Source organism: Homo sapiens, chromosome 9 (genome assembly GCF_000001405.40).
Source record: "Homo sapiens chromosome 9, GRCh38.p14 Primary Assembly".
In the NCBI taxonomy this organism is placed as follows: domain Eukaryota; kingdom Metazoa; phylum Chordata; class Mammalia; order Primates; family Hominidae; genus Homo; species Homo sapiens.
In genome coordinates, this window is record NC_000009.12 from 30,781,394 (window position 1) to 30,805,817 (window position 24,424).

Below are 24,424 nucleotides of genomic sequence, written 5' to 3' on the forward strand. Positions count from 1 at the left end.
AGATAATCTCCCAGTGCTTCTATATTCTAAATTTACCTTTCTTCTCAGTGCAAGCTGAAATGTTACCAAATAAAAAGTATTCTCATAAGTCTTCAAGTATTCTGACTTTGATTACATCATTTTTGTCTTTACATAGTTGTAGTAAGAGACAAATTTGCCAACATTTTTGAAGAACTATTGTTTCTGTCAGTAGGATCTAAATAATTTGTTAATGATCTTTAAGAAAATATATTTCTACTGCCACTCATTCCAGAGAATGCTAAATAAAAAGAGTTGTTTCTGGAAGGATCAACTCAATCTAAATCAAACCTGCTATTTGGAGTGCTCATTATTACAACTGAAAATGTAACGAGCATATATAAAATAACTTTGTTTTATCTGTTAACATTCTCCAGACTGGCAGCCCAAAGGAACCTTATTAAGTTGGAGTCACTGTGTTGGAGGATGAATTCTGATCATTTATTTGCCCTTGAGTATACTCACAAACCATCCCTATTAGTTTCTATTGCTGTACAAAAGCATTGCTCCGAACGTACCTGCTTAAAACAGCAGGTATTTATTGTCTCACTGTTTCTGTGGCTTGAAATCTGAGTACCACCTAGCTGAGTGTTGGCTAGGGCTGAAGTCTTAGCTGAGGTTCACCATGGTAAGATTTGCTACTAAGTTTACTCAGGTGATTGGCAGAATTCATTTCTTTGTGGGTGTTGAAGGTTTCTTGGTTTTTTGCTTGTTTTCTTTTTTTGTTTTGGTTTTGTTTGGTTTGGTTTGGTTGGTTTTTTTGTTGTTGTTACTGTTTGGTTTTTGCTGGCTTTCAACAGAAGGCTACTTTCAGCTTCTAGAAGCTGTCCAAATTTTCTTGACATGAGCAATCACGCAACATGGCCACTTTGTTTCCTTAAAGCCACAAAAGGAAAGGAAGACACTCTAGCAAGATGCCATCAATAACCATGTATGCATAATCAGATACCTCTGCTGCATTCTATTGGTTAGAAGCACATCACAGAAAGTACACACCTTAAAAGGAGATGATCACACAACAACACGAACATCAGGAGTTGGGGTAATGGCATCTACGTTTACAATCAGCCTGCCACACCATTCATACATATTTTTATCCAACATTCCAATAATGTTAATAGTCTGCTGAAAAAATTGTCTAGTGTATCATTTGATAGAATAACACATTGAAGTCTAATTTATACAAACATTTATGCCTTAGACATTTATCCTATGTCATAATATAAGCAAAACTCTGAAAAGAATGTGACCCAGAATTCTATTTTAAAGTTCTGTAGGAACTTCAATTTTTATTTTCACAGATGTGGAAGAAAAATTAAATGATAATCACATTGAAAAATCTCATCAATCTACCTTTTGAAGTAGGAAAGGTAAATGAATACAAACACCTTCATTATGCAGCAGAAATTGTCTGCATTAAATGCACAATCTCACATACCAATAGACCTAGTGAATTAAAATGTGCAACTCATTATTTAATAAAATATCATAAAGCTTTGAATTTACTAGATTACTGCTTCTGTGTCCTTAGGCCTATTTATTAGTAAATTCTTAATCAATGAATTATAAAGTAAAATCTGTCTTCAACCCTAACACAAAATTATGAACTCAACCCTAACACAAAATTATGAACTCAAGGATTCTGATAATGAATGCTGTTTTTTATTGACATTTAATTGAACCATAATTTTTTGAATACATAAACTTCAAAATATTATCGAAATACTAAAATAAAGATGTCTATCATTGTGTTTATTCTTTCTATATATATCTGAAAATTCAGTTATGCATTTTAAATCACCATGGCTTCCAATTTCTCTAACCTAGTATTTTTATATTTATTTATTTTTATTTTTTTCTCTGACCTAATATCTTCTTCTTGTACAAGACATGACTCCTACTGTATATGTCTTGATTTCCAGATTTGTTCACTACAGAGAAGTGAATTAATGCAGCTTGGTTTTGTTTCCTTGCTGACAATCTTTTAGAAGTTTTGGGTTCCTTTTTGGATGAAATCTGAATTTATTCAGTTAGTTTCTGTAGTCCTGTATAATTGAGCCCTTTATAAATGTTTCGCTGCTTCTTGCCTTGTTTAATGTGCTACAGTTGTATGCTTCTGACTGCTCAAAGAATCATCTTCCTTACCACCTCACTGACCCAACACTTCTTTTATTCTTTTTCTGGATAATTGCATCAAACTCTACAGACCTCAGGATATGTTACTTCATATAACTAGCATTCCAATGATAAAGGGGGTATCAGGGCTGATAGATTTAGCAAGTCAACACTGGCAAGATGCTTCACTGTGATAGGCATGTGAAAACCATCATCTCTGAAGAATAAGCTAGTTATAGTAAACTTGTACAATTTAAATATAGATATGGCATAATTCCAAGGTGAACAAATTATAATTATAGAAAAAGTAGATAATTAAAAAGAGACATATCTTCTAGAAATTATTCCTCTTTACATTAGGAAACATTCCGATGTTGATATATTCACATTTTATATTAAACCAGTTCATAATATTTATAGTGTTTCAAAAACTACTTTTTTAGAATTATTACAAAATATTAGGTATAAAATACGTTTTCATATATCCAAGTTCATTAGTATAGTTTTACCTTTTATCATTGAAAAATAGTCCCTTGGGTCATAATTTATTTAAACCTACTCTTTTTGGTTGAACTTTTTCCTTAAAATTTTCCTATTTTTAACAGTACTGTACTGAACATTCTTATAGGTAAATATTTTTGTATGCACTTTTTTTCTGAAAATCACTATCTAAAAATTAAATTAATGGGTCAGATGGCATATATATATTTTAAGCTATCAGAAATGATAATACTAATTTATACTCTAATTAATAGGTTGTAAAGTAATTTTGAATCCTGTAAATCCTCAAAAACTTAAGTCTCTGAGTTACTTGTAGAAGGTTAATCAAAATGCAAAGAGGGCAAGTGACAAATTCTAGTATAATTTTAAGAGAAATTAATTTTAAATACCTTGATATTTTATAACATTCTCTCTACAAAATAGAATTAATAATAACATGATTAATTTATATAACATTTCAAACAACTACAGAGACTCAGCAGTTAAAGTATGTAATAGATTAGAGAGATATTAACTGGAAAAAGAAAATCAGCTCACTAGTTACCTTCACCTTTGAATTAATGTAATAATTTTGCCAACATCTTAAATTCTATATTCTCAAAAATCTTATTTAAAAGTTATGTGTACATAGTAGGTATATATATTTATGAAATACATGCAATATTTTGATATAGGCATACAATGCATAATAATCCCATCAGGGTGATTATGGTCAACAATAACTTGATGTACATTTAAAAATAACTCAAAAATCTTATTTTGACAGAACGCTAGGGGCCAGTTTATCCATAGGTCAGGATAGATTCCAATTATTTATGTCCAGCCAGTGGATTAAAAGAACATGATCATTACAGACAGTTTAAAAAATATCTGTGTTATCTGACCCATCTAATTAATCTTTAGATAGTTACTTTAAGAAAAAAAGTGTACACAAAAATATTTACCTATAAGAATGTTCAGTGCAGTACTGTTAAACATAACATAATTTTGTAATTTTTTAAATCATTCTTATAATTTTTATTTTTTATTATTATTATTATACTTTAAGTTTTAGGGTACATGTGCACAATGTGCAGGTTAGTTACATATGTATACATGTGCCATGCTGGTGTGCTGCACCCATTAACTCGTCATTTAGCATTAGGTATATCTCCTAATGCTAACCCTCACCCCTCCCTCCACCCCACAACAGTCCCCAGAGTGTGATGTTCCCCTTCCTGTGTCCATGTGTTCCCATTGTTCAATTCCCATCTATGAGTGAGAACATGCGGTGTTTGGTTTTTTGTCCTTGCAATAGTTTACTGAGAATGATGATTCCCAATTTCATCCATGTCCCTACAAAGGACATGAACTCATCATTTTTTATGGCTGCATAGTATTCCATGGTGTATATATGCCACATTTTCTTAATCCAGTCTATCATTGTTGGACATTTGGGTTGGTTCCAAGTCTTTGCTATTGTGAATAGTGCCACAATAAACATATGTGTGCATGTGTCTTTATAACAGCATGATTTATAGTCCTTTGGGTATATACCCAGTAATGGGATGGCTGGGTCAAATGGTATTTCTAGTTCTAGATCCCTGAGGAATTGCCACACTGACTTCCATAATGGTTGAACTAGTTTACACTCCCAACAACAGTGTAAAAGTGTTCCTATTTCTCCACATCCTCTCCAACACCTGTTGTTTCCCGACTTTTTAATGATTGCCATTCTAACTGGTGTGAGATGGTATCTCATTGTGGATTTGATTTGCATTTCTCTGATGGCCAGTGATTCTGAGCATTTTTTCATGTGTCTTTTGGCTGCATAAATGTCCTCTTTTGAGAAGTGTCTGTTCATCTCCTTCACCCACTTTTTGATGGGGTTGTTTGTTTTTTTCTTGTAAATTTGTTTGAGTTCATCGTAGATTCTGGATATTAGCCCTTTGTCAGATGAGTAGGTTGCGAAAATTGTCTCCCATTTTGTGGGTTGCCTGTTCACTCTGATGGTAGTTTCTTTTGCTGTGCAGAAGCTCTTTAGTTTAATTAGATCCCATTTGTCAATTTTGGCTTTTGCTGCCATTGCTTTTGGTGTTTTAGACATGAAGTCCTCGCCCATGCCTATGTCCTGAATGGTAATGCCTAGGTTTTCTTCTAGGGTTTTTATGGTTTTAGGTCTAACATTTAAGTCTTTAATCCATCTTGAATTAGTTTTTGTATAAGGTGTAAGGAAGGGATCCAGTTTCAGCTTTCTACATATGGCTAGCCAGTTTTCCCAGCACCATTTATTAAATAGGGAATCCTTTCCCCATTGCTTGTTTTTCTCAGGTTTGTCAAAGATCAGATAGTTGTAGATATGCGGCATTATTTCTGAGGGCTCTGTTCTGTTCCATTGATCTATATCTCTGTTTTGGTACCAGTACTATGCTGTTTTGGTTACTGTAGCCTTGTAGTATAGTTTGAAGTCAGGTAGCATGATGCCTCCAGCTTTGTTCTTTTGCCTTAGGATTGACTTGGCAATGCGGGCTCTTTTTTGGTTCCATATGAACTTTAAAGTAGTTTTTTCCAATACTGTGAAGAAAGTCATTGGTAGCTTGATGGGGATGGCATTGAATCTATAAATTACCTTGGGCAGTATGGCCATTTTCACGATATTGATTCTTCCTACCCATGAGCATGGAATGTTCTTCCATTTGTTTGTATCCTCTTTTATTTCATTGAGCAGTGGTTTGTAATTCTCCTTGAAGAGGTCCTTCACGTCCCTTGTAAGTTGGATTCCTAGGTATTTTATTCTCTTTGAAGCAATTGTGAATGGGAGTTCACTCATGATTTGGCTCTCTGTTTGTCTGTTATTGGTGTATAAGAATGCTTGTGATTATTGTACATTGATTTTGTATCCTGAGACTTTGTTGAAGTTGCTTATCAGCTTAAGGAGATTTTGGGCTGAGACAATGGGGTTTTCTAGATATACAATCATGTCATCTGCAAACAGGGACAATTTGACTTCCTCTTTTCCTAATTGAATACCCTTTATTTCCTTCTCCTGCCTGATTGCCCTGGCCAGAACTTCCAACACTATGTTGAATAGGAGTGGTGAGAGAGAGCATCCCTGTCTTCTGCCGGTTTTCAAAGGGAGTACTTCCAGTTTTTGCCCATTCAGTATGATATTGGCTGTGGGTTTGTCATAGAGAGCTCTTATTATTTTGAGATACATCCCATCAATACCTAATTTATTGAGAATTTTTAGCATGAAGCGTTGTTGAATTTTGTCAAAGGCCTTTTCTGCATCTATTGAGATAATCATGTGGTTTTTGTCTTTGGTTCTGTTTATATGCTGGATTACATTTATTGATTTGCATATATTGAACCAGCCTTGCATCCCATGGATGAAGCCCACTTGATCATGGTGGATAAGCTTTTTGATGTGCTGCTGGATTCGGTTTGCCAGTATTTTATTGAGGATTTTTGCATCAATGTTCATCAAGGATATTGGTCTAAAATTCTCTTTTTTGGTTGTGTCTGTGCCTGGCTTTGATATCAGGATGATGCTGGCCTCATAAAATGAGTTAGGGAGGATTCCTTCTTTTTCTATTGATTGGAATAGTTTCAGAAGGAATGGTACCAGTTCCTCCTTGTACCTCTGGTAGAATTCGGCTGTGAATCCATCTGGTCCTGGACTCTTTTTGGTTGGTAAGCTATTGATTATTGCCACAATTTCAGAGCCTGTTATTGGTCTATTCAGAGATACAACTTCTTCCTGGTTTAGTCTTGGGAGAGTGTATGTGTCGAGGAATTTATCCATTTCTTCTAGATTTTCTAGTTTATTTGAGTAGAGGTGTTTGTAGTATTCTCTGATGGTAGTTTGTATTTCTGTGGGATCGGTGGTGATATCCCCTTTATCATTTCTTATTGCATCTATTTGATTCTTCTCTCTTTTTTTCTTTATTAGTCTCGCTAGCGGTCTATCAATTTTGTTGATCCTTTCAAAAAACCAGCTCCTGGATTCATTAATTTTTTGAAGGGTTTTTTTTTGTCTCTATTTCCTTCAGTTCTGCTCTGATTTTAGTTATTTCTTGCCTTCTCCTAGTTTTTGAATGTGTTTGCTCTTGCTTTTCTAGTTATTTTAATTGTGATGTCAGGGTGTCAATTTTGGATCTTTCCTACTTTCTCTTGTGGGCATTTAGTGCTATAAATTTCCCTCTACACACTGCTTTGAATGTGTCCCAGAGATTCTGGTATGTTGTGTCTTTGTTCTTGTTGGTTTCAAAGAACATTTTTATTTCTGGCTTCATTTCGTTATGTACCCAGTAGTCATTCAGGAGCAGGTTGTTCAGTTTCCATGTAGTTGAGCGGTTTTGAGTGAGATTCTTAATCCTGAGTTCTAGTTTGATTGCACTGTGGTCTGAGGTACAGCTTGTTATAATTTCTGTTCTTTTACATTTGCTGAGGAGAGCTTTACTTCCAACTATGTGGTCACTTTTTCAATTGGTGTGGTGTGGTGCTGAAAAAAATGTATATTCTGTTGATTTAGGGTTCAGAGTTCTGTAGATGTCTATTAGGTCTGCTTGGCACAGAGCTGAGTTCAGTTCCTGGGTATCCTTGTTGACTTTCTGTCTCGTTGATCTGTCTAATGTTGACAGTGGGGTGGTAAAGTCTCCCACTATTATTGTGTGGGAGTCTAAGTCTCTTTGTAAGTCGCTCAGGACTTGCTTTATGAATCTGGGTGCTCCTGTATTGGATGCATATATATTTAGGATAGTTAGCTCCTCTTGTTGAATTGATCCCTTTACCATTATGTAATGGCCTTGTCTCTTTTGATCTTTGTTAGTTTAAAGTCTGTTTTATCAGAGACTAGGATTGCAAACCCTGCCTTTTTTTGTTTTCCATTTGCTTGGTAGATCTTCCTCCATCCTTTTATTTTGAGCCTATGTGTGTCTCTGCATGTGAGATGAGTTTCCTGAATACAGCACACTGATGGGTCTTGACTCCTTATCCAATTTGCCACTCTGTGTCTTTTAATTGGAGCATTTAGTCCATTTACATTTAAAGTTAATATTATTATGTGTGAATTTGATCCTGTCATTATGATGTTAGCTGGTGATTTTGCTCGTTAGTTGATGCAGTTTCTTCCTAATCTTGATGGTCTTTACATTTTGTCATGATTTTGCAGTGGCTGGTACCGGTTGTGCCTTTCCATGTTTAGTGCTTCCTTCAAGAGCTCTTTTAGGGCAGGCCTGGTGGTGACAAAATCTCTCAGCATTTGCTTGTCTGTAAAGTATTTTATTTCTCCTTCACTTATGAAGCTTAGTTTGGCTGGATATGAAATTCTGGGTTGAAAAGTCTTTTCTTTAAGAATGTTGAATATTGGCCGCCACTCTCTTCTGGCTTGTAGAGTTTCTGCCGAGAGATCTGCTGTTAGTCTGATGGGCTTCCCTTTGTGGGTAACCTGACCTTTCTCTCTGGCTGCCCTTAACATTTTTTCCTTCATTTCAACTTTGGTGAATCTGACAATTATGTGTCTTGCAGTTGCTCTTCTGGAGGAGCAACTTTGTGGCGTTCTCTGTATTTCCGGAATCTGAATGTTGGCCTGCCTTGCTAGATTGGGGAAGTTCTCCTGGATAATATCCTGCAGAGTGTTTTCCAACTTGCTTCCATTCTCCCCGTCACTTTCAGGTACACAAATCAGACACAGATTTGGTCTTTTCACATAGTCCCATATTTCTTGGAGGCTTTGTTTGTTTCTTTTTATTCTTTTTTTGTCTAAACTTCCCTTCTCACTTCATTTCATTCATTTCATCTTCCATCACTGATACCCTTTCTTCCAGTTGATCGCATCGGCTCCTGAGGCTTCTGCATTCTTCACGTAGTTCTCGAGCGTTGGCTTTCAACTCCATCAGCTCCTTCAAGCACCTCTCTGTTTTGGTTATTCTAGTTATACATTTGTCTAAATTTTTTTCAAAGTTTTCAACTTCTTTTCCTTTGGTTTGAATTTCCTCCTGTAGCTCAGGGTAGTTTGATCATCTGAAGCCTTCTTCTCTCAGCTCGTCAAAGTCATTCTCCATCCAGCTTTGTTCTGTTGCTGGTGAGGAACTGCATTCCTTTGGAGGAGGAGAGGTGCTCTGATTTTTAGAGTTTCCAGTTTTTCTGCTCTGTTTTTTCCCCATCTTTGTAGTTTTATCTACTTTTTGTCTTTGATGATGGTGATGTACAGATGGGTTTTTGGTGTGGATGTCCTTTCTGTTTGTTAGTTTTCCTTCTAACAGACAGGACCCTCAGCTGCAGGTCTGTTGGAGTTTGCTAGAGGTCCACTCCAGACCCTTTTTGCTTGGGTATCAGCAGCCGTGTCTGCAGAACCACGGATTTTCGTGATCCACGAATGCTGCTGTCTCATCGTTCCTCTGGAAGTTTTGTCTCAGAGGATTACCCAGCCGTGTGAGGTGTCAGTCTGCCCCTACTAGGGGGTGCCTCCCAGTTAGGCTGCTTGGGGGTCAGGGGTCAGGGACCCAGTTGAGGAGGCAGTCTGCCCGTTCTCAGATCTCCAGCTGCCTGCTGGGAGAACCACTGCTCTCCTCAAAGCTGTCAGACAGGGACATTTAAGTCTGCAGAGGTTACTGCTGTCTTTTTGTTTGCCTGTGCCCTGCCCCCAGAGATGGAGCCTACAGAGGCAGGCAGGCCTCCTTGAGCTGTGGTGGGCTCCACCCAGTTCCAGCTTCCAGGCTGCTTCATTTACCTAAGCGAGCCTGGGCAATGGCGGGCGCCCCTCCCCCAGCCTCGCTGCTGCCTTGCAGTTTGATCTCAGACTGCTGTGCTAGCAATCAGCCAGACTCCGTGGGCATAGGACCCTCCGAGCCGGGGGCAGGATTTAATCTCCTGGTGCGCCCTTTCCTAAGCCCGTCGGAAAAGCGCAGTATTCGGGTGGGAGTGACTCTATTTTCCAGGTGCCGTCTGTCACCCCTTTCCTTGACCAGGAAAGGGAACTCCCTGACCACTTGTGCTTCTCGAGTGAGGCAACACCTCGCCCTGCTTCGGCTCGCGCACGGTGCGCTGCACCCACTGTCCTGCACCCACTGTCTGGCACTCCCTAGTGAGATGAACCCGGTACCTCGGATGGAAATGCAGAAATCACGCGTTTTCTGCATAGCTCACATGGGGAGCTGTAGACCGGAGCTGTTCCTATTCGGCCATCTTGGCTCCTCCCCCTCATTCTTATAATTTTTATAACCTGTTATAAGTATGGTAGAGATACAATCAGATACATTTACGTAAACATCATTTCTGTATTCCTTCCTAATTGCAGACCTGCTGAGAGTGTCAAGTTTCAGTAAAATAAAAAGAGTTATTTTATAGCAGAGGATTATGTATGTCACGATGATGTTTAACGAAATCTGCGACACTGAAGGAGAACGTTTAGGAGCGAGTCGATACATCGAATATGACTTCCCTAGAAGTTCACAAGAATGACAAAGCGCTGTTGCAAATGTCAAGATGTTCAGTGGTCTAAGTGATATCCTCTTTCCTTTGCACCATGTATTTTCAGAAGTTTATGTGTTATGCTAAGATTTGTCATATATGAATGATGTTTTTCAATGCTTTATTTTGTAAAAGTATTTCATATGCAAGCCATTTTGATTTTATAGTAGCTATCCTAATCAAAGAGACATATCTGCTTTAATAATACATATTACTGTTCTGTGTCACAGGAATGCAGCTTAATTTATTTAATCACCTGTGTAAAATAGCATCCATAAGAGAATTGTTGTGGGGACAGTCTTCCAAAGCACCATATGTGATATTTTCCACTGGTTTAGATTGCCTGTGTTAATATTATTCATCAATATAAATGATCAAGAGTTGCAGTATTGATTGGTATTGATGTCAAGGAAGCAAAATGAGAGGTAACCTAAATTAGCATGAATAAAAAAGGATTTATGGCAAACATTTAAGCATAGGAGTAAATGTGAAACCCATTTCAAAGGAAACAAATTAGCAAATGGTTTAATTGACAGAAAGCTCTGTGTAAATAATGGCTGCATTTTTTTTCACTGTTCATTTGAATAAGAAAGCCACTGACATTGGTAATCAGTGGTTTACCTCTAGATTTTTACAAGTAAGAGAGTTGTTGAAATAAAACTCCAAATGCTACAGCATGTCTGAGATCAAAATTTTCAGTTGATGTTCATTGATTTCTTATTGTAACACTGATTTGTTAATGTAATTTTTCAATAAAACCCATTTCTTATTAATATAAAAGGGTTAACATAGTTAAAAAAGAAATAGATATAGTTCATTCTAACTTAAGATCAGGCCTAATGTATTCTATTCTATAGTGATTATTGACACTCTGAAAAATACAACTAGGAACTAAATGTGCCATAGGATGACATTAAGAAAAAATACAACAAAAACAAATATTTCTAAAATCAAATTAAGAGATGATTTCAATTAAATTTTCAAAGCAGACCCAATCAATTTTTGACAATAAACATTTAATCTGTCAAGGGTTTAGCTATACAAGCTTGTGGTGGATGAGTTACATGTGATAAAATTTTATTTGCCAGAAAGATGAATTCTCAAATTCCCATCTTTGCATTCATTGGTTGTATTCTCTAGAAATGAATCTGGGGATTCTTTTAGTCCCAGTTCCGTGGATAGTTATTGACTTTTAGATAGTAATGAACACTAATTAGATAAGATTGTTCCTTGTGGTTAAACAATAGCTTGAGGGAAAAAAATAATATTTGCATGCGTCATTGAGGACCAGAAAAGGACATTATACATTACGTTATTTTGTACTCATGCTTCACAAATCCCTGAATGAAGAACTAATAAAGGTGCATATGCATTTTCCTGTTTTTTATGTATTATTACTTAACTGATTGGTGTACACTAGTTATGCTTTCTTTATAATAGTTTATTTTAAAGCTTATTTGTTTAGGATTCTGTTTTTCACTACTACATTGGACACTGAACTAGGCATCTAAATAAAAGAATGGATTAATTAATGATTTTTTACTCTGTAATTTGAATTATGAATTGTATCATTGAAAACAAGCAAGCATCAAATACCTCACAGGGTAAGCTGGTAGCGCAAAATTAAACTTTCATTTTCTTGATTTCCAAGGTATTATGTTATTCTATACACTGCATAGAAACTTTTCCTCCCTATAAGAATTTTAAAATTAATTTTAACTTTTCTTTTTATTAATATTATTAATTAAGAATTCATAATTTTACATACCTGTGTGACTCAATATGATGTTTCCCTATAGGTGTATAATATGTAATAATTAAATCAAGCTGATTATCAGAGCCATAGCCTCACTTCTTTTTTATGGTGAGTTACGAGAAATGTACCTTCTAGGCCATGGTGCCTAGAGGAGGAACAGATGTCCCTAAAAACCTAAACATCCCAGAACATATTTGAGAACATAATGACAATAAAAACAGTTTCATTACACACAGCAGACGAATAGCTGAAAAATTATCTTAAAAGCAACTTAGGGGCAGGTAGTGAGACAGATCTCTGGAGTTGTCTTGCTGCTACCCAGTAATGCCCTGTATGTAAGTTGTAACTAACTCATGTACTCAGCAAGCTAGCCTTGTCTGAGTCATTCCTTTTTTTCTTGGTTTCTTTCTAGTTTGGGGGTCCTTGCTTGAGGAGATGTTACATTCCTTGGTTTTTCTCATAATAGCATCATGTGAGATTGTGCTTAGAGGGACCTCCAGGTTGCAGTATCTTAACATGCTTGCTTCAAAGGAATGACAGATACTTTTCTCCTACTATTTATATCTAACATCAAAGGGAAAGGCTCTGACTGGTCCAAGTTGGACTTCATGTCCATTCCTAGCTCAATATGTGTAATCAGAGGTCACACGATTGTCCAGGAATTAATCACAAGCTTGTCACTGTGGTGATATGACCTCCAGTGTAACAAGAACCATACTAGGTGGTGAATGGATTATTTCATAGAAGAAGCAGGACTGCTGCACATAGAAAAGAGATGACAAGATAATCTTCAGGAGAGAGCAATTATGTCTCTAAATGTTGTTATTAGTTTTATCTATTAGAAGTTTCAAACAATCCCAGTTGTGTGGACACAGACATTACACAATTTAGGAAGGCAAACATAGGTAGGAGAGTACTATATTATAGTAGAGTACTATATTACTAACAATAACGTACATGCAAATATCACGTAATAGTTTTCAAAGTGATTTAATTAGTTTTGTATCCCTGTGAATTCAGGAGAGTGCTAAATATATGGTGGTGCAAAGTCTAAAGTTCCTGTCTTTAAAAAATCAAAAGTAATGCCTTAGTATTTATCCTCTCTTGGACAAACAACTAAACTCTTCAGAACTTCATTTATGAATTGGGAGTAGTAATGGTTGTAACTTCATGGATTTGCAATTAAGATTGAGTAGGCAAATATATGCAAAGTGCTTTGAAATGTGCCTGACACATATTAAGCACTTAGAAAAGTTTACCTATTATTATTATCATAATTATATTTGTGTCGACCTGATTTAATCACATGGCCTTGTTATCCTTGCCACATTGGATTGAAAACCAAAATCAGCTTGTTATCTAAAGACTACCATTGACAGATTAGGGAACTGATACGCTTCTTTTACTAAGGTGTCTAGTGAAGTAAATCTTCCCAATATATAGTGACTTTCCAGTCAGCCTCATATTCCCAAGAGGTTCTGAGTATAAAATTCACATAGATAATGTAGCAAATTTAGAAAGAATTATACAAGCAAGAAGAAAACAAGACCCAGAGAGAAGCTGAAGTACACATCGGAGGAGTCAGGAGAGTAGGAAAGAATTAATACTTAGTTCAGAGGGGATGACAAAACAATGTGAGTAACCAAACATATTGTAGATTTATTATTCAACTCCAAAATAAATTATAATTAATTTATCAGCTTACAAAACTGTTATATCCTTGCAATTAGCCCTTACAACCTAAAGGAAAGAGGTTTTTGTTTCCTAAAATACTAAAAAGCCAAACTAACACTATTTCATTTGTTATCACAGTGACCAAGACACAGCCTAGTGATGGAGGATGAATACTATAGCCATATATCCATATTCTGAATATATCAATTTCTGATTACTCCCAAAAAGCCCCAAATTTTCTTTCACTTCAGAAAACCAAGGTCATTAAGTTGATATTTACCCCACCAATGACTCATATATAAAAGTGTACACATATTCTTGGGAAGCTACAATCTGTAATTGTGTTGTTTTTAAATAAATGGGCATAAAACATTTTAATTCAATTGCATTTGGTGATTTTGAGATTGCTTTCCTACAGCACACTCCTTTTTTTTCAGAGGAATACAGAAGCATTTTGGGAGAATTATCTTCTACCCTGGAGATGGAACAGGACAGACATGACCTAGTGGTTCTTGGAGCAATATAAAAAGACAGAACTTCCCCAGGGCCATCCTGGTCAGCATCCACCTGCAGGAGTTGACCTACCAGGTTTACAATTTAAAAAAAGAGAAAGCAACACTTAGCCTGTATATATATATACACTTGAGGTATAGTGAATAGAGAATGATATTAGAAGATAGAAGCCTGGCTATATTACTAATTACCTCTATCTCTGAGAAAGTAATTTAATCTCCCTGGTCTTCAATTTCCTAACTACTAATGAGATGTGGTTGTAAAAGATTGTCTATAATAAACCCTCCAACTCTTCAAATCTGTAAATTAGCTTGTCAACCCCTGACATATCCAAATAAACCTGAAGAAGTTATTATGCTGAGCACAGTTTTATTCCAGGGACTTGTTTAACTCAAGCAAGCAGTCATGTTCTGACTCTGGCGATTTTAAAAATTGATATATACACTCAGCTGAGATGTTGAGAGTTGAGTTACACATTGTATCATTGTTTGAAATGGGCATAGATTTCACAGTATTACATATTTCCAGTATTACACTGACACATTATACAAATATGTAACTATTTATATATTTTATAAATTATTTCAAAAATTCGGGGAGTTTTAATTTGATATACTTTTGTAACTTGAGAAGAAAAGACCTTTTCTCTGAATCAAGTTTTAGTTTTTTTTTTTTTTTTGGCTTCTTTGCTTTTCCCTACTAATTATTAAACTGGAAAAAAAAACTGTGCCTAGGTAAAATGAATAGTTTGGAGCTTACTTTATATGTTTTAGTTGCTGTGGAATTTCAACACATGTGTAATATGATTTTTCAATGGCAATATAAGACTTGAGTTTAAGTCCCAATTCGGCCTTTAGTATTTCTTTCCATCTGATAGCAGTCTCCTTTTTCTTACTAACAAGTTTCCTAAAGCAAAAGACAAACAACAAAAAAATTAGGGAAGTAAAGCTTAATGTTAGAAAGCAAAGGAAGGAATTACGTCAACAGAGTAGAGGGAAATCCATCACATTTAGCATTTCTTAGCTTTTCTCATGCACTTCTTAAACCCTCTTTATTTCGTGAGATCACCACCTGATAGTAAGTTTGGAGGTAGTCTTCTCCTCACTTCTTAGTATTCTTACAACCAGAATTGTGCTTCCATTGTTTTAACTACAAAATCACATCTTGCAGCAGTTATATTTCTGAATTTTCACCACACTAAAATTTTACATTATTTGAAGGCACAAAATGGATCACATTTGTATTTGTATATCCCAGCATGCTTCCTTAGTTAAAATTAAAACTCAATGAATATTTGTAAATCATATGAACCTGGAAGTCCAGAGGCTTAATTTTCTCTGTCGATATTCAACTCTTTCTCAGAGTGTCTGACTCAGTTTAGAATAGAGAATATTTAATGGTTCATTTTGTGAGGCAGATTTATGTACTTGTCAGCATTGCTTTGTAATAAGTAACCCCCAAAGCTTAGCTTGTTGCAATTATGGTCATTTCTTGCTCAATTCACATGACACCATCTGCAGTTCAACTATAACTGCTGCCCTTGCAGCTTTTGTAGGTAGTGCTTGGCACAGCTCCCAGTGAATTTTATCTCTGGAAAGAGGGCAGCCCTATTGTGAACATGCCAATTACCATAGCAAAAAGGAAGAAAGCAGGGCTGAGCTCAATCACAAAATGTAATTTCAAGTTTCTTCTTGAATGTGTCACTTTAGCTCATGTTCCATAAACAAAGCAAATTATGTGGCCAAGCCCAAAGTTAAAGAGGCAAAGATCTCACATGGCAATGAGTGTATTATATAATTCTATAACTGAAAAAAAAATGGAGTCAAAAATTGTCAAGAATGCAACAGAACACTTTTCACACTCCTGGAGACAAATATTCATTTTCCTCCTTTTCATATTCAAAATATATATTTTCCTCACCTCCCCCCAAAGAAGGCACCATCACATTCTTATGCCATCAGCTCATCAGGCTCAAAGTCAGAGGTCATGACCATCTACACAGAAGTTACAAATGTGGTTTATCTAAATATGGAGAAATATGGACTAAAAAGAGAAATTATTTTCCTCCACACACAGCCAATGCACATCAACAAGACAAAGGATAACCACAGTAAACATCTGCATTCAGAAAGGGAAAGAAAGGGAGGCAGACAGATGTCATTGGTTCATAACAATTCCAAAGCCAGATAGCCCTTGTTCTGAAGGAAGAGAACATTGCTTTGTTATGCTCAAATTCATTTCTGAGAGAAGTAACCCCATACAAATATTGTTGGGGATCTTCGTTTTTCCATCTGAAGTATATCGTTTCTCATTACCCTTCCTGTGACTGTCCCAAGAGGATGATGATAAACCTGTACTCCTAGAGGGCAGCAGAACTTCTGACTTTTTTTTTTCCAGTCTGTAAACATATGGGACATCAATTGATGGTTTACATGCCCAAAATCCCAACAACATCTAATCCAGCCTGGAATTAAATTTGTCAGTATAAAGTCTCAAAAAAATAACAATGATTTATTTCTATTATAGTCTCCCCTTATCCAAGGTTATGCTTTTCATGGTTGTAGGTTTCAGTAACCCCCAGGCAACCATTGTCTGAAAATATTAAATGAAAGATTGCAGGCAAACAACTCATAAGTTTAAAATTACACACTGTTCAGAGCAGAGTGGTGAATTCTCAAGTCATCCAGCTCCCTCCTGCCTGGGATGGGAATCCTTCCTGTGTTCAGCATATTCATGCTGTAGAAGCCACTCACCACCCCTTAGTCATTTAAGTAGCCTTCTTGGTTATCTGTTAACTGTTGCGCTATCACAATGCTTATGTTCCAGAAACCTGTATCTTACTTAATAATGACCCAAAGCGCAAGAGTAGTGATGTTGGCATATTGTTATAATTCTTCCGTATTATTGTGAGTTCTATTGTTATTTATTGTTGTTAGTCTTGTACTCTTCCTAACTTATACATTAAACTTTATCATAGGTATATTTTTATAGGAAAAAGCATTGTATATATAGGTTTTAGTACTATACAAGGTTTCAGGCATTCACTGGGGATCTTGGAAAGCATGTCCCATGAATAAGTGGGGGACTACTGTATATTCGTTATGTACAGGTCAAATTTTCTAAATTAGTTTGTTAATAATGTATCATTTAGATTTCTATGAAACAATTATGTTAGCTGTTTATAAATGTCAGCTTCATGCATTTCTTGCATTAATAGTCTATTTCTTTTTATTGCCTTCTTGCATTAGATAGGACTCTGGTCTGTGACAAGCAGAAATATTGATACTGGACACATATGACTTTTACCCCATTTTACAAGAAAAGCATTACATATTTTTCCAGTAACTTACGTTTTAGTTGTACAGTTTTTTGTTGTTGATGTGGTTTTTCAGATTAAAAATGTTCATGTCTATGCTTATTTTGCTGAGACTTAATTTTTATCATGCCCATTTGTTGAATTTTATCAAAAATGTTTCTGCACCTATTGAAAAAATAACTTGTTATTAAGTTGCATATTATATTGAATTACTAGTTGATGTTCAAGTATATTGCATTTTTCATTTATGTGATATTGTCACACATTGTATTATCTATACATGATGCAGTATAGTTTATGTATCATTGGATTTGAATGGCTAATAACTTGTTCAGGACTCCTTGGTTTATTCATGCAATTGTTTATTTAAACACTGTTCCGCAATTTTTCCTTTCTTACCTAGCTTTTTTTTTTTTGGTCAAATTTTATATGAAAATTATGCTGGCCTCCTAAAATGAGTTGGCAAATGTTCCTCTTTGTTAGTTCTTTCTGAGTTTATGCAATTTTAGTGATATTTCTACCATATTTATTTGTACAAATTTACTTGCAAACCATCTGAAATTGGAATTTGTTGTTTTTGGAAAGTGTTATTTAGAATTCAATTTCCTCATAATATTTTTTAGATCTTTCTTTCTTTTTTTCTTTTCTTTTCTTTCTTTCTTTTTCTTTTGACACCCAGTGACCTCTGAACTTTTCATTGGCCTCATGCACCCTGCTTCTCCTGGCTTAATATCTCGGAACTTTGGTGTTGTTGGTCTCAGACACAACTTTGCCATTCACTATCTGGCGGGTGGCGTTTTGTATGGTTTGCATGGAGTTGCTGCTGTCCAGGGAATCACCAAGATTGAAGTCCTCGCCATCTTCCAGCAGGTGGTGGTAGGTGGCGATCTCAGCCTCCAGCTTGACCCTGATGTTCAGCAGGGACTCGTACTCCTGCGCCTGGCGCTACCCCTCTGCCCAGGTCTGTGCCAGCTCTGACTCCAGGTGCAACAGGATCCCGTTGAGCTGTTCCATCTGCAGGGCGTAGCGGGCTTCCACCTCCCTCAGGCTGTTCTCCAAGCTGGCCTTCAGATTTCTCATCGAGTCCAGGTCTATCTACAAGGACTCGACTGTACATAGCAGCTCCGTGAGCGTCACCTCAGCAGGTCCAACCTCAGCGGACTGCGTGGTGACCACTGTGGTGCTCTCCTCAATCGGCCGAGACCAGTACTTGTCTAGCTCCTATCGGTTCTTCTGAGCCAGCTGGTCATATTGGGCCCGAATGTCTGCCATGATCTTGGCAAGGTCCTGGATTTGGGGGCATCTGCGTCCACAGTTAACCCAGAGCTGCAATCTGGGCTTGCCGGCCTTTCACTTGCTCTTCGTGGTTCTTCTTCATTAAGAGCAGCTCCTCCTTGAGAGCCTCGAACTGTGTCTCCAGCTGCATCCGAGTGACATTGGTGCCATCCATGACCTTGCAGAGCCCATGGATGTCGTTCTCCACAGACTGGCGCATGACCAGCTCTGTCTCGTACTTGACTCTAAAGTCATCAGCAGCAAGTCCTGCATTGTCCATCTGCAGAACGATGGGGACATTGTCTGCAGTATTTGCAAAGATCTGAGCCCTCAGGTCCTGAATGGTCTTGAAGTAATGGCTCTAGTCTCTGACCTGGGGTCCCTTCTTCTCCAGGTGCTCCTGGATTTTGCTCTCCAGCTTCCTCTTGTTGGTCTCCAGGCTCCTTACTCTGTCCAGGTAGGAGGCCAGGCCGTCGTTCAAGTCTTGCATGGTCTCCTTCTTGTTCTGGATGCCTCCCATTCCTGCCAGACCCCTGGCCATCCCCGCGGCCAGGTCCCCGGACCCCATGCCGCCCAGGAAGCTGGTGGAGCGGGACACGGAGATCCAGGAAGCAGAGCCCTTGCCTGCATAGACGCTGGCCACGCTGCTGGCAGCTGGGCGCCGTAGCTGGGCACCTAGACAGAGCCCAGGGACCCGTAGTTGGTGGAGAAGGTGGAACAAGTGGTGAAGCTCATGCTGTTTAGGGAGGAGAGCGAGAGGACAGGACTCAGGCTTTGTTGATGACCACATTTTCTATTATTTCTTGAGTTGGTTTTGGTAAGTTGTGTTTTTTTTCATGAATTTTGTCTACTTTACCCAAATTGTTATTACATAAGCTTGTTCATAGCATACTTTATTATCTTTTATTTTATTTCAGTTGGTTATATTTTCAATTTCTGTATAATAAATTTCACTCATTATAAATCCACAATGCAATGCATTTTTGACCAAAGGAATTTTAAATGAGGAATAAATAGTTTGGTAACATAAATAGTAACATAAAGAGTTTGGTAATGCACCTTTTTTAAGTCAATTCACTAGCCCTATCTACTGGCTCCAGGAAACCACTAATCTTCTTTATTTTGTGATGGTTTTGCCTTTTTGAGAATTTCAAATAAATGAAATGTGTAATCTTGTGTGTCTGGTTTCTTTCACTTTCAGAATACATTTGATACTCGTGCTCTTTTATATATCAATACTCTAAGTGATGTTTATCACTAAGTACCATTTCACTGAATGGAGATACCACAATTTGCTTAATCATTCATAATTTAGATATACTCACAATTTGTAATGAATATTTGGGTTGTTTACAGTTTGGATCATTATAAATAAAGCTCCTATGAATATTCTCGTAGAAGTTTTTCATAAATGTGTTTTCCTTATTCTTGGCTAAAAACCTATAAATTTAATTTCTGAGTTATACAGTAATCACGTCTTTAATTATGCGAGAAACTGACAAATTATTTGCACAAGTGGCTGTACCATTTTACATTCCCACTAGCAATAGCCAAGAGTTACAGATGCTCCACATCCTTGTCAACACTTGCCATTTTCTTTTTAGTACTAACCCACTTGAGAGGGCATGCACTGGCATCTCATGTGGTTTTAATATTCATTTCTCTAATGACTGACACTGAGCATTATGTCTATAATGTCATTTTGGGAACTTTTTAATGTCTATAGGATTTCAGGTCATGTTAAATTGTTTGCAAAATGGCAAAATAATTTTTCCCATCCTGCGTAACCACTTTTTGCCATATAAAGTTGAATTTTTTTTTTCCCATTGGAAGGTAGAGTTTCTTTACCCTTTGGATCTGGGCTTAAACATGTGACTTGCTTTGGGAAACTTGCCACTTAGAAATGAGGTATAAACAAATATTAAAATGCATTGATCCAGTGCACCAATAATCTTCATTTCGATTACTAAAGAATTCATTATTTTTCTGTCCTTAACTTATTGTTCTATCAGCAACATTTGACATTATTTCTCACCCATCTTTGAAGCACTTTCAGACTCTATACACATTACTTCTTAAACAGCAACCTTGCTTAATTTTCCTGCTATATTTTTGGATCTCCGTACTTCATTTCCTCATTGAAACAACCTCTTGAATTTAGAGTGCACCAGGATATGGTCCTTGGATTTATTTTCTTTTCTACTGATATTCAGGCCATTTGTGATCTTATTTAGTCTCACAGAACATAATGCATCTATCAGTTGATGAATACCAATATATACCTCCATCTCAGATCTCTATGTATGTGCTCTAGGTTCCTATCCATTGCTTACCCAATATATCCGTTTAGATGCCTCATGAATCTCTTAAAATTAATGTAAACAAACAAGTTTCTAACCATTTACCTCAAACAAAACCTTCTGAAGTCACATAGATCTCAATTACTCTTATCACAGTATTCTCGGAGTCATCTTTAATCCCTGTCTTCCTCATGAATTCCATGTCCAGTCTCTCAGCAAATTCTATCTATTGTAGCTTGAAAATATATACGGAATACAGCAAACTCTTAATTTCTCTATTGCCACGGCCCTGATACAATCTTCATCGTTCTTGTCTGGATTATTTCGTTGATCATCTAACTCATCCCCCTAATGCTATTCTAATCTTTATATGTCCATTTTCACCCCAGTAACAATAGTACCCTTTTAAACCACGGGGTATATTATGCTACTTTTCATTTTGTAAGACATAGACAATCTGGTCCCCCCTTACCTCTTTGAATGCATCTACTATTCATCCTCTTACTTTCTCAGGTACAGCTGTAGTGACCTTCTTCACATTGTTGCGACATTATTCTCTTCAAACTGACTCTTATTTTTGGCTGAAATTTCTACCATAGATTTCTATCACTCACTCCCTCATGTTGTTCAGGTTTTTATTCCATAACTTTTTCAGTGAGCTCTTCCCTAAATGGCAGAATAAATAATCAATGCCCCTTTGCAAATATTCTGTCTTCACAACACACAGTGTTTGTATTTACTCTGCAAAATATGATCCTTGTTACAGCAAGGATAAGTGTCATCATCCATTTGTTTACTTCTCTATCCAAAGTGTGTGTCAAAGTGATAGGCTATTGATAAACATTTGTTGAATAACTGAATGCATTAATAAATCTAGATTATAGCATCATAGTTATCGTTCTCACAAAAATAATAATATATTGGTTTCTCTTTGGCTTTATTTCAGACAAGGTGGATATCTGAAATGCAGAAACAAAAATGTTTTGTGAACCATTAAGTCTTTCAAATAATGGAGTGACTGAAATAATCTAACAAAACTTAGTTAAGCAATTTATTTTTCTAAAATTACAGAGGATAAGTGAGCAAAATAGGAGTGTTGAAAACATTCTACCAAAATGAGCATACGAAAAACCTAGGTTGCAAAATCTACCAATAATGCATTGAAGCTACTGTTGAAAACTAACAATTTAGAGTTGAAATATAAAATCACTAAGCATATCCTCTAAAGGTTGTTTAACCAAGTGAAGGTATGTACAATACCATGTACTAAGTTGCTATCATATATTTTCAAGTGAGGTTCAACTAGTATTACTTTGTCATAGCCAAATAGCTAAACTACAATAATAATTATTAGCTAAGGGATTACTCCAATATAACTTTTAAAAAGTTTTCTCACTATATTCATGGGTTATCCACTATTCCATATTATCTTGTAAGCCACACTATGTTCGTTATAACCCAAACCTACTGTGACTTGTTAACTGTTAAAAAGTAATTACTATATAATTCTTTGTATATGCTGGGGGGGGGGGTAAACGAATGATTAAAAAATTAATAAGAAATAGGCTATTTCAAAAAATGGAAATTTTTTTGTTATTAATTATTAATCAGTTCAGAAAATACAATTTTCCATGAAGAAAATATTAGCAAAAACTTCTAGCTGAATAGCAGAAAGAATTTGGAATTTAAGTTTGGAAGGTGTATCAAGGATATGTTCATAATGGGATACAGTTGCATATTCTTAATTGCTTATTTTGCATGCGTTTGATGAATATTGAATACTATTATCCATGTAACATAAATATTTAATTCCCTTCATAATTCTGAAATGGAATTCAGGGCACTTAAAAAATCCCATTAACTAGAGTAAAAAAATTGTGTATTAAAATTATTGTAAGACGGAGAACAAATCAAGAAAAGGATTTATAAAAATATGTGAAAATGCCTGACTTGCATGCAAATTACATGAAGGGAAAAGAAATGAATGCTTGCTGTGAACTTACCCTTTGGATCATTTTTAAGTTTAGCTCATTTATAAAAATAAACATTTTAGTACCCGATTTTTTTCCCAATTTACATTGCTTGTAGAAATATAGTTGGTGAATTGCATAAGATTCGGACTACTAAGAACTCAACAAGAACATAAATGCAGAGCCCCACCTTATTGTCTCCGAGTTTTACAGAAAGTATTTTAAACAAATGTCTTATGAACTACTCAATAAGATAAGGAAAATAAAGTACATGTATAACTACTGGAAAAATGATGACAGAGTGTATGGTATGCCTGATGTGTGTTTCTAATTGAAAGATAAAAGTTATTTAAAACACTGTAAATGCTCACAAACTGGCCAATTACCCAATCTTAAAAATCTCTGAATTTTCCTGTATACATATCCACACATTGAAAAAAAATCCTATGTAGTTAAACATAGACACATGAAAAATAAGAATAAATATATGAAAATATCCAAATAATTTTGATGGAATCATTTCATAAATATGTTCTATTTCTTACTAATAACAGCAATGTATTTTAAACAATTGGAGCATGGGTAACTACATAAAGAAAGCAATATTCTGGATATTTTGGCCTGACAAGTTTCTAAACCCTTTCTCCAGACTAAAAGCCATTCTCAAGACAAAGAAAAAACTGAAACTATGAAATTTAGATAGTTTTTACTGATATACCTCAAGTAAGAGATTGTTTACAATTTGGAGAAGATACCAAAACAACAACAACAGAAATAATTCTAAGCTGAGTCAAGAGATCAAAAATGTTTATTATTTTTTAGATTTTAATGTATTCTGGAGTTACTGAGTAGCTAGTAGTGGTGAGGAACCCATTAGATATTTCTAAAATTCAATATTTGACACAGAAAATACTAGAGATGTCATAATAAATTTATGTGATACAGGTAAACATTTGAAGGGAATTATGGAAAAAAATAAAATACTTGAAGGGCAAAGACCATAAAAATAATTCATAAAGTAGAACACCCAATAAACAAAACTAAACTCAAAAAGTCTTGGTGAGATGTAATAGAGAGAAATTTCACTGAATTGAGAGAAAAACTGTACCTTCATATTGAAAAGTCAAATCTTAACACAGGAAATTTTGACTCAGCATGAGAGATATGAAGACCTAGATAAGGGCTGTCCTGAAGCTTACTCAATTTGATGCAACTCCTTTTTTAAGAAAAGGAGTTAAAATTATGAATACAGAATTAGGTATAAAATTAAACATCAATTTCGAATAAGAAAAAATACAAATACAAAATACAAATCTAAAAGGGTTTGACTAATAACTCCAACATCACAAGAGACAAAAAAACAAAATAGTATTTTTGTTAAGTGCCTCATATACCACTATAATAATTTTCTCCCCTACATTTATTGATAGCATTTTTATTGTCTTTCATAAGATAATTATATTGCATTGCTTTCTTCCCCAAGGATTATTATGTAATATTCAGAAGTTAGAATACTGTGTTTCAGATTCCCAAC

The 24,424-nt window shown here is 35.8% G+C and overlaps 1 pseudogene, besides 3 other annotated features; it reads right to left on the reverse strand.

Annotated features, from left to right (window-relative positions):
- Window positions 8,951-9,451: an enhancer, noted in NCBI's record as "H3K4me1 hESC enhancer chr9:30790342-30790842 (GRCh37/hg19 assembly coordinates)". NCBI's record gives its function as "activates a minimal SCP1, AML or CMV promoter by ChIP-STARR-seq in naive H9 embryonic stem cells {active_cell/tissue: H9 hESC(naive)}" and the evidence as "EXISTENCE:reporter gene assay evidence [ECO:0000049][PMID:30033119]".
- Window positions 9,452-9,952: an enhancer, noted in NCBI's record as "H3K4me1 hESC enhancer chr9:30790843-30791343 (GRCh37/hg19 assembly coordinates)". NCBI's record gives its function as "activates a minimal SCP1, AML or CMV promoter by ChIP-STARR-seq in naive H9 embryonic stem cells {active_cell/tissue: H9 hESC(naive)}" and the evidence as "EXISTENCE:reporter gene assay evidence [ECO:0000049][PMID:30033119]".
- Window positions 15,813-15,982: an enhancer, noted in NCBI's record as "experimental_107933 CRE fragment used in MPRA reporter constructs". NCBI's record gives its function as "activates a minimal promoter by MPRAs in K562 erythroleukemia cells, with activity observed for both the introgressed and non-introgressed 9:30797289 variant alleles {active_cell/tissue: K562}" and the evidence as "EXISTENCE:reporter gene assay evidence [ECO:0000049][PMID:34662402]".
- On the reverse strand, window positions 18,265-19,405 carry KRT18P36 (keratin 18 pseudogene 36; annotated as a pseudogene).